The sequence below is a fragment of the Homo sapiens genome, chromosome 12 (assembly GCF_000001405.40).
Source record: "Homo sapiens chromosome 12, GRCh38.p14 Primary Assembly".
Lineage (NCBI taxonomy): Eukaryota > Metazoa > Chordata > Mammalia > Primates > Hominidae > Homo > Homo sapiens.
In genome coordinates, this window is record NC_000012.12 from 32,073,640 (window position 1) to 32,085,109 (window position 11,470).

An 11,470-nucleotide genomic window follows, 5' to 3' on the forward strand; every position below is an offset into this window, starting at 1 on the left:
TTGTATTTTTGGTAGAGATGGGGTTTCATCATGTTGGCCAGGCTGGTCTTGAACTCCTGAACTCAAGTGATCCTCCTGCCTCAGCCTCCCAAAGTGCTGGGATTACAGGCGTAAGCCACTGTGCCCGGCCAGTTGTGAGAATTTTGTATGTATTCTGACTACCAGTCCTCTGTCAGATATATGTATTATGATGATTTCTCCCAGCCTGTGGCTTGCCTTTTAATTTTCTTAATTTTGTCTTTCAAAGAGCAGAAGTTTTGCATTTTGATAAAAATGCAACTTACCAATTATTTCTTTTATGGTTTCTGCTTTGGCAAGTTTGTAAATATTTTTTTCCCTGTGTTGCATGGTTTTAGCAATTATCTTTAGGTCTATGATCCACATGGAGTTAATTTTTGTGTGTGGTGTGAGGTAGGGATTGAGGTTTTTTTTTTTTCCAATATAGATATGCAGAATTTAGGCTGGGTGTGGTAGATGACATCTGTAATCCCAGCACTTTGGGAGGCCAAGATGGTTAATTGCTTGACGTCAGGAGTTCGAGACTAGCCTGGGCAATATGGTGAAACCCTGTCTCTACCAAAAATACAAAAAAATTATCTGGGTGTGGTAGCATGCATCTGTAGTCCCAGCTACTTGGGAGGCTGAGGTGGGAGGATCGCTTGAGCCCAGGAGGCAGAAGTTGCAGTGAGCCAAGATGGTGCCACTGCACTCCAGTCTGGGTGACAGAGCCAAACCCTATCTCATTAAAAAAAAAAAAAAGAGAGAGAGAAGAAAAGGGAAAAGAAGATATGCAGTTGTTCCTGCACCATTTGTTGAAAAGACTGGAATGTTGATTTTAATAATGCATGTAAATTCTCCACCACCTTGGGAAATGGTGTTGGCTGAAAATTACATGTGCCCTGATAACATATGCTTTAACAGAGTACCTGGTGAGTGGAATGAGAATGTGGTGGTTTGCATGAGTAACTTTGCATTTCTGAACTGTTTTTCAATGCCTCCATTCATATTGGTAATTGAGGTCATTGGGTTAGTAAGGCAAGCAATCAGTGGCAGGAAAGCATTTTCAGGCACATAGTAGGTAACTCAAGTAAAGAGTGAAACCCTTCCAAATGATTAAAAGAATTAAAAAAAAAAAAAAGAGTGAAGTCCTGGGCACAGCTGTTAGAAATCTAGACAGCTGGCCAGGCTTAGTGGCTCACACCTGTAATCCTAGCACTTGGGAGGCCGAGGCAGGTGGATCACTTGAGGTCAGGAGTTCGAGACCAGCCTGGCCAACATACTGAAATCCCTGTCTCTACTAAAAATAAAAAATTAGCTGGGCACAGTGGCGGGTGCCTGTAATCCCAGCTACTGGGGAGGCTGAGGCAGAAGAGTCAGTTGAACCCGAGAGGCGGAGGTTGCAGTGAGCTGAGATTGCGCCACTGCATGCGCCACTGCACTCCAGCCTGGGTGACAAGAGCAAGACTTTGTATCAAAAAGAAAAAAAAGAAATGTAGACAGTTGCATGACAGTTCTAGTATTAATAACATTTATCATCAGTGCTCTTGTTCTTGATGTATACTGATCACCAGGTGATGTCCACTGTTTACCAGAGGAATATCAGACTCTGGAAACATAACGGTAAGAAGCAAAGGAGAGGGGGCAGGTGATTTGTGGAGGATGCTCCAGCTGCCTTTCCCTGTTCTAGAGTAAGGGCAGCTCTAGATGCAGCCCTTGCCCTACGTGAAAGTGCAGGAACACTCCCTGAGAGGCAGGAGTGCTGGTTTCTCGAAGCTGTCATGGTCTCTGTGTTGGTGGTTATGCCTCTTTAGAGGTCTCCTGGAGGAGTGTCCTCATTGAAACTTTCCCTTTAGGCCATCAGGCCTTGGAGACAGGGTTGGCATTTTACACATCTTTAATCCCTGCATGAGATTCACATTTCTTCTTAGGTCAGGGGATGCTGAAGCCTTGGTAAGCTGCAGCCTTTGTCAGTAGTTTTTTTTTTTCCCCACAATTATTCAGGGGGAACCAATGAACTCCATGAGGGTGGGGATTACATCTGTCTACTGTTGTATCTCCAGCACTTAGAATGGTGCTTGGCACCTAAAGGATGCTCAAGTTGTTGAAGGAATTAATATTCCCTCTTTCAACAGCTGAGTGTCATAGCTTGGGTCTAGCCCTGCACAGTCAAGGAAAAATAAATCTGACTGGATTAGGACCTCCAACATCTGGGAAGGATCTGGAGCTGGTCTGCTGAAATGAGCTTAGGGAAAAGTTCGAGGTACTTTCCCTCTTCTCACTTCCTCACTCCGCAATTTATGTGTCCAGTTTGATTGAATGGGATTCTTCTTAGGTGCCTACTAGGATGTGAGTCTCACCATTAACCTAGCCCATTTGGTGATGAACCAGATTTTCTGCATAGCTCCTTTTAGCCTTCTCTTTTCTTCCCAGTGGAGTTGGCCTCAGTGCCCGGAAGCCACAGCTTTGTCCTGTGTCCTGGCTATCCCTGAATCCACAATGGTACCATAATTTTGACAGCAAGTTTCACCAGTACCCATAGACTCCTATGCTGAGGTTCCTGTCTATCAGAATGGATTCCTTAGCTTTGGACTTTTAAATTTTAAGATACTGTCTTCACTTTGGGCATTGCGTCTATTACCAATATGTTTTCTTAGTCCCAGCTTGTCTGTTCTAGGCTTACTTCCGCCTCCCTGCTAGCTCACTGTTTAATTCCCAGCAGATCTGGAGGCTGGGGCTACGTATGGTTTTGAGAAAGGCTCCTCTGCTTGGCACTTCACAAGGACTTCCAGTAATGAGTGGCGAAAAGATAGCGTGACTCTGTTGCTTCAATTTACTCTTATCTGTCCACCTTTTTGGAGTGGGAGTCTGTCATGACTTTCCCTTTCTAAACCACAAAGCTAACATAATATTTCACTTTATTTATTTATTTTTAATTAAAAAAAAATTTTTTTTTTGAGACGGAATCTCGCTCTGCTGCCCATACTGGAGTGCAGTGGCGCAATCTTGGCTCACTGCAGCTTCAACCTCCTGGGCTCAAGCCATCTGCCCACCTCATCCTCCCAAGTAGCTGGGACCACAGGCACACGCCACCACACCTGACTAATTTTTGTATTTTTTGTAGAGATGGGGTTTTGCCATGTTGCCCAGCCTGGTCTCGAACTCCTGAGCTCAAGCAATCTGCTAGCCTTGGCCTCCCAAAGCGTTGAGATTACAGGCATGAGCCACTGTGCCTGGCCTAACATGGCATTTTAAAAAATCATAGTGTTCCTGTGATCTTATTCCCTTGACTAATAATTTATTTAGAGTGGATACATGATCCAGTCTGGCAAATGAGATGGAAGTGGAGCTGACTTGAGAGGGATTCCTTTCCCGAAAAACACACAAAAGCACCAGAGAAAAAAGCTTTCCCCCTCCCCTTTTTCACCAGCTTGAACGGGGGGCATTCCTGGAGCAGCAGGAGCGGCCTCTTCGAAATCTTGAGATGGCACACATGAGGACAAATGCCAATATGCCAAGCACAGCAGGGTGGGAAGAAATCTGAATCCCTGATGGCATCATTTTGCAGTTGAACTGATGCCAGCAACAATCCACCTCTGAATTTATGCTGTGGGAAAAATTACCTATTATTTGTTTAAGCCTGAAGTTGTGTTTTCTTTTATTTGCAAAAGCATGCATTTCTTTTTCTTTTCTTTTTTTTTTTTTTGAGACGGAGACTCACTCTATCCCAGGCTGGAGTGCAATGGCGCGATCTCGGCTCACTGCAACCTCTGCCTCTTGGGTTCAAGCGATTCACCTCCCTCAGCCTCCCGAGTAGAAAAGCATGCCTTTCTAACTTGTAGTTAATTTTCTTCTTTTAACACATCAGTCTGGTCTTATTTCTAGGCTTTATCTCATACGACATTTACTGTGTCCTCACATGCACATACTCCTGGCCCCAACCTCTCTCAGAATTTTATTTTTCCTAGTGTCCTAGCTTTGAGCTGTCTACTTGTTCTTGCCCACCACTGGATGTTCAGCTGCACTTTTCTCTAAAAGGTTTGGTACTCCACTCCAAAAAAAATTATATTTTTAAAATATAGGAAACGATGATATATGGAGGACCTACTATGTGCCAGGCACCACACCACATATGTTACAGACATTACCTCATTCGATCTTCACAATCAGCCCAATGTGGTAGGTATTAGCCTCCTCCTCCACCATCCTTTTATAGCAGAGGAAACATAAGCACAGTAATGTTAGAGAGCTTGCGTAAGGCCTCTCAGCCAGCAATTAGTAGAGCCAGTTTTCATATCCAGGTCTATTGAATTCCCCAAAATGCTCTTGCAATTCAGGGAGCAGGCTTGTATTTGTCAGGTTCTTAATTCCAAGCAAAGTAATGCAATCTAGCCAATTTAAGCAGAAAGGGATTTGTCTTAGTCCATTCTGTGCTGCTATAACAGAATACCACAGACTGGGTAACTTATGAGGAACAGAAATCTATTCTCTCACAGTTCTGGAGCCTAGGACATTCAAGATAAAGGCACCAATGGTTGAGTCTCTGGTTCCATGATGATGCCTTGTTGCTGCATCCTCCAGAGAAGAGGAACGCTGAGTCCTCATGTGGCAGAAGTGCAGGAGAGAGAGAACACACTCCTGCAAGCTTGTTTTATGGCAAAGTTAATCCATTCACCAGGGCAGAGCCCTCATGATTTAACCACCTCTCATTAGGCCCCGCCTCCCAACACTGTTGCATTGGGGATTAAGTTTCAACATGAATTTTGGAGGGGACACAAACATTCAAACCATAGCATTCCGCCCCCCATCCTCCCAAAATATCCTTCTCACATGCAAAATGCATTCATTCCATGCCAGTAGCCCCAAATGTCCTAACTTGTTTCATCATCTACTCAAAAGTCCAGAGTCTCTTGTTACACGGATATGGTTGAGACTCAAGGCATGATTTAACCTGAGGCAAATTCCCCTCTAGCTCATACCTGTGAAATTAAACAAGTCACATGTTTCCAAAATACAATGGAGACAGGCATGGGATAGACACACTTCTTCCAAAAGTGAGAAATAGGAAAGAAGAAAGGGATAACAAGTCCCAAGTAAAAGCCCAAAACCCAACGGGACCAACAACATTAGATTTTAAGGCCTGAGAGCCATCTTCTTTGACTCCATGACAGACCATCTGGACACAATGGGTGAGGGTTGGACTCTCAAAGCTCCTGGTGGCCCTACCCCCATGGCTTTGCTGGGTGCAGCTGTCATGGGTTGGAGTCTTGTGTCTGTGGCTCTCCCAGGCTAGTGTTGCATGCTAATGGCTCTACAGTTCTGATGTCTTAGGAGTGGCCCTGACCCACGACTTTACTAAGCAATGCCCTATTTGGGTATCTTTGCAGTGACCCCCAATCCCACAGTTCCACTGGGCAAGGGGATTTAGAAAACAGAGTTCCGAGTTTTCCGGTATCCAGAGTGCAGGATGGAAAGGGAGATGGGGCCAATAGCGGGATCCGCCAAGGCCTCCTTGAGGAAGGCTCTTTCTTTACAGAAGAGCTGCGCATTCAGTTACTACTGTAAGGCAGAGAGTTTAGATTGCAATTCAGCAGCATCTCCAAAAAACTCGTAGTGCTAGAATGGCTTTGAGGTGGAATTTTGGAAATGAGAACCATGATGAATGAATGATGGAAATGGTGACTCCTTGCCATAGTTAAGCTGTTGTCCTTAACATTTCTTTTAGGTAGCACAGTATACAAGCTTACATTAAAATATTCACGGCCAGGTGCGGTGGCTCACACCTGTAATCCCAGCACTTTGGGAGGCCGAGGCAGGCGGATCACAAGGTCAGGAGTTCGAGACCAGCCTGGCCAACATGGTGAAACCCCCTCTCTACTAAAAATACAAAAATTAGCAGGGAGTGGTGGCAGGCACCTGTAATCCTAGTTACTCGGGAGGCTGAGGCAGGAGAATTGCTTGAATCTGGGAGGCAGAGGTTGCAGTGAGCCGAGATTGCGCCACTGGACTCCAGCCTGGGTGACAGAGTGAGACTCCATCTCAAAAAAAAAAAAAATCACAAACATTAAAAACATAAGATGGTGATCTATTTCAAGTACTTTGTTAATTTTTTTTTTTTTTTTTTTTACCTATTCTAAGTTTCCTTCTGGAGGAATATGGCCAAATGAAACTTTCCTTGTCTTTTTTTTTTTTTTTTTTCCAGAGACAGGGTCTTGCTCTGCGGCCCAGGCTGGAGTGCAATGGCGTGATTACAGCTCTCTGCAGCCTGGACCTCCCAGGCTCAGGTGATCCTTTCATTTCAGCCTCCTGAGTAGCTGGGGCTATAGGCATACACCACCACGCTCGCTAATTTTTTATCTTCATTTTTTGCAGAGACAGAGTCTCCCTATGTTGCCCAGGCTTGTCGCAAACTCCTGGGCTCAAACGATCTTCTGGCCTCAGCCTCCCGGTGTCAGGATTACTGGCATAAGCCATGGCACTTGGCCTCCTTCTCTTTCTACATGAGTGTATGAAAAACACTCAACCTGTGGGACATCTCTTCTATGTTGCTGTGATCTTATAAGAGATGTTAAATAAAGGGACTTCTAACTAGTTATGAGAAGTCTTATTGAACTGAAAGGATGGGGAAATGCTTTCAAACAGTTACCAAATTCCTCACCTGAGTAATGGGCATATTTTAACACCTTAAGAAAAACCCCGTAAGTTTCTTAGTTGATTATTCTGTGCTAAACTGTTAGATTTTTTTTTCTCTTAAGGTCAATGTTCATTATTTTAGTACCACCAGCTAAGATGACAGTTTGTCCCATAGGCTGTCAAGGACATTGACAAGTAACAAGGATATTGCTTTTCTTGAAAGATTCTGGAGAGCTTTTCACCCCCACTCACCTGACAGCACAGAATGTCAATCCACTGGCAGGGAGTCTCCGAGTGGCAGACGGAAGGTTTCCTGCTCCTGCCAGAAACCAAATACCAGAGTGAAGTCCTCTCTGAATTCCACACCCACCCTGTTCATTCATTTTCAGAGCCTGTTTTTCCTTTGACAACATTTCTCAGAGAGAACTGTGACAAGTGTACAAATGAACTGTCTATCTCTATTTCGCAGTACAGCAATATGTCTACTCTCTGAAATCTTCAAACATAGCAGATTCTAGTCCATTTTCTTGATGTATTCATTAGTAGCTACACTGGAGGTTACTGAATCCAATTTTCATTAGTGAATGTCCCCAAAGATGACATGTGCCTCTCTTTGCAAAATTGCCTGGTTTTCATAAACTTGACTACGAAGTTACTTTAAACGGAATCATGCTTTTCTTATTAACATCATCTTATAGGGATTTCATGCTCATAAAAAAAAGGGTCTCAACAGGTAAGTTAAAACACTCAAGAGGATGTAGAAAATTAAGAAAAACTTTTAAAGGAAAAAGGGAACATCAGTAATAAAAATTTTAGCACATTTCAGCTAACACTGACACCAAATTCAGCTTTTGCTTTGGACTAAAATAATGTTATTTGAATATCAGAGGCCTAGTTAGTAGGCAACCCTTTAAAAATCTCAGGTCTATTTGCCTTTAGCTGTTTGCTGAAAAGGAGTTTTTGTTTGTTTGTTTGTTTTGTTTTGGCTGTTTGTTCATCAATTTGGTTTATTTTGTTAAAGATTTCTTTCCATACTATACACCCTGCAACTTTCAGATATTTCAGAATACCTGATAGATAAAATGTTCAACCGCTATCTTTTCTGAGTTTTATGCCATTGTTGGTGAGTCTGGGACTGAATCTTTTTTTTTTTTAATCTTTTTTTTTTGAGACAGGGTCTCATTCTGTCACCCAGGCTGGAGTGCAGTGGTGCCAGTATGGCTCACTGTAGTCTTGACCTTCCATGCTCAGGCAATCCTCCCGTCTCAGCCTCCCAAATAGCTGGGACTACAGGCGCATCCCACCAGGCCTGGCTATTTTTGTGTATCTTTTTCAGTAGAGATGAAGTTTTGCCATGTTGCCCAGGCTGGCCTTGAACTCCTGGGCTCAAGAGATCCACCTGCTTCAGCTTCCCAAAGTGGTATAATTACAGGCATGAGCCATTGCGCCTGGCCTCTATGCATATGTTGAGAAGCCCCAGTCTGAGCTCAGAGATGACCTCTGGTTAAAATGAGGGACTTGGTTTATATCTTTTTTTTTTTTTGAGATGGAGTCTTGCTCTGTCACCCAGGCTAGAGTACAGTGGCACAATCTCGGCTTATTGCAACCTCTGCTTCCTGGGTTTGAGAGATTCTTCTGCCTCAGCCTCCCCAAGTAGCTGGGATTACAGGTGCCCACCACCACACCCGGCTAATTTTTGTATTTTTAGTAGAGATAGGGTTTCACCATGTTGGCCAGGCTGGTCTCGAACTCCTGACCTCAAATGATCTGCCCACCTCAGCCTTCCAGTGCTGGGATTACAGGCGTGAGCCACTGCGCCTGGCCAGGGCTTGGTTTTTATCTAACTCTGTAGAAGATGCCCCAGGAAGAGCAGAGAACTCTATAAAAGACAAACTTGGGTTTGGATTCTGGCTCTTCTGGTAATATATCTTAACTTTATGGGCACCAATTTTGTCATCTCTAAAATAGGGATAATGCTTCAGAGTTGTGTAGTATGAAGTCGAAAAATATTGAGGCCGGGTGTGGTGGTACACACTCCTCTAGTCCCAGTGACTCAGGAGGCTGAGGAAGGAGGATTGGTTGAGCCCAGGAGTTTGAGGCTGCAATGAGCTATGATTGCACCACTATGTTCTAACCTGGGTGACAGAGAGAGACCCTGTCTCTAAAAAAGCAAAACTGAAAAAACCTACAAAAATATTTAATATGTACAGTTTCTGATAGACACTAACTCTCTTTTCCAATTTCCTAAGAAACAATGCTCAGTACTTGTGGTGGTTGCCTAAAGTTGTAGAGGTGAAAACTTTGTTTTCATTTCCATTTAGGTCTTTTTTTTTTTTCAAAAATTTTTTTAAATAGAGACAGTCTCACTATGTTGCCTAGGCTGGTCTCAAACTCCTGGGCTCAAGTGATCCTCCCACCCTGGTCTCTCAAAGTGTTGGGATTACAGGCATGAACCACTGTGCCTGGCTGACTCTTGTTTTTATAAACATTATATGTCAAGATTTACACTTGCAATGAATCTCATTATCCCACTGTATTTCTTTTCTTGTGGTGATCCCCAAAACAACAACAAAATCCTGCCCAGTCTCTACATATTTTTGACCAAATATATATATATTTTTGAGACGGAGTCTCACTCTGTCGCCTAGGCTGGAGTGCAGTGGCATGATCTTGGCTCACTGCAAGCTGCGCCTCCTGGGTTCACGCCATTCTCCTGCCTCAGCCTCCTGAGTAGCTGGGACTACAGGTGTCCGCCACCACACCCGGCTAATTTTTTGTATTTTTAGAAGAGACGGGGTTTCACCGTGTTAGCCAAGATGGTCTTGATCTCCTGACCTCATGATCCTCCCGCCTCAGCCTCCCAAAGTGTTAGGATTACAGGCATGAGCCACCGCACCCGGCCATTTTTGACCAAATATTATAGGCGCTTTAAGATATACTACAAACACTAAGCAATTTGCTGTGTTTTTTAAATGTTACTTTTTCCCTACATAAAATGTTGAAATTCATCAAAATTCGGCCAGATGTGGTGGCTCACGCCTGTAATCCCAGCACTTTGGGAGGGTGAGGTGGGCGGATCACGAGGTCAGGAGATGGAGACGATTCTGGCTAACACGGTGAAACCCCATCTCTACTAAAAATACCAAAAAAATTAGCCGGGCGTGGTGGCGGCATGCGCCTGTAATCCCACCTACTCAGGAGGCTCAGGCAGGAGAATGGCCTGAACCCGGGAGGTGGAGCTTGCAGTGAGCCAAGATCGCGCCATTGCACTCCAGCCTGGGTGACAGAGCAAGACTCTGTCTCAAAAAAAAGAGAAATTCATCAAAATTCTAACACTTAAAATGCTTCCATGACTATCATTGTATCCCAACTTTGTTTTTGGTCTGGATAGAAGCCACAGTGATGACTCAGTTCATTCCATGCGCCTTGAATCTATTTTGCTAAAATAGACAACAGCTGAGCCATATTTATGTCCTAATCTAATGAACCAACAGTGCAAAAAATAACGCTTTAAATCTGCTTCCTTTTTTGAGAAAGAAATTCACTTAAAATACAATTTCCTTTTATATTCCTCCAAAGCCTGAGCTGTATGATTTTTTGTGTGTGCTTCCTAAAAAACTTTATCTCTAGAGGTAAATGCTGAGTTTTGAAAAAGTTTAGAGCTTTTGCTAAATAGACTGAAGACTTGCTTTCAAATCTAGAGTTTGATGATTTAAACAAGGTTCACCAGGCGTGGTGGCTCACACCTGTAATCCTAGCACTTTGGGAGGCTGAGAAAAGAGAATCACTTGAGCCCAGGAATTCGAGACCAGCCTGGAGAACATAGTAACACCCTGTATCTACAAAAAAATAAACAAAATTAGCCAGGTGTGATGGCACATGAGGTTGGAGGATCACTTGAGCCTAGGAGGTCAAGGCTGCAGTGAGCCATGATCATTCCACTGAACTCCAGCTTGGGCGATAGAGTGAGACCCTGTCTCAAAAACAAAACAAAAGACAAGGTTAACTTTTTCATCATCTGTAAAGTGGAGATGACTTCAATGTCACATTCCTGGGTTTATGTTTGCATAACTGAAGAGCTAAGAGCAGAAAGGAGCTCTTCAAGTTTGGAAGGAACGGAGGATGAGAATTCCTTCTTAAGCTGGTGCGGAATACTGATCTGCTCCCAGATAATACCCTGGAGGTGGCAGTGTTTCCAGTGGGGACGGTCGTGGTTAGCTGTGCACTGTGCTCGGAGTGCTATGTTGTGGAACTGCAGGGAGGCCCCAGACTTACAGATCCTTTATCCTCTACCCGACAGGTGTAGCTGGTGGGGATGGACTGAGTCGGGGGAGGAGGCTCCTGAAGAGCAGCTAATTCTTGCCTTTTGCTTGATTGTGGTCTAAGGACATGGAAGGACAGTGATCTGATGATGGAACACCGCATAAGGTATTTGTTGGTGCATTTTTTTCTTAATACTAGGTGTTTTGAGATAATGCCACTTGCTCCATCTCTTAATATTCTCCGTGTGGATTGGACATGTTGCCTGACTGTTAATGACAGCCATTGGGCCTCATTTCTTGATTGGGTGAAGCTAAATTATCAAAGGTCCCAAGCATGAAGATTTTGGTCTGTTTCTACTTCTCTGTCTTCCCAGTCCAATGAAGGTGGCCACTAGGGTTATGTGTCGGCTCTGCAGTACCAAGCTTGCCCTCACGTGAGGTGTTCTGAGGATAGGAATAGTAAACTGGAGGATAGGGAGTTAGCACCATCATTGGGTCTTTCATACAGAGCTTCATCTTTCAAATTACCCTTTATTAGTAATAAAAGCAATATTTGAACCTCCATTTCCCTTATTCCT

General features: G+C 43.8%; 1 annotated feature.

Annotated features, from left to right (window-relative positions):
- Positions 2,703 to 2,903: a silencer, noted in NCBI's record as "peak1661 fragment used in MPRA reporter construct". NCBI's record gives its function as "represses an SCP1 promoter by STARR-seq MPRAs in K562 erythroleukemia cells {active_cell/tissue: K562}" and the evidence as "EXISTENCE:reporter gene assay evidence [ECO:0000049][PMID:32103011]".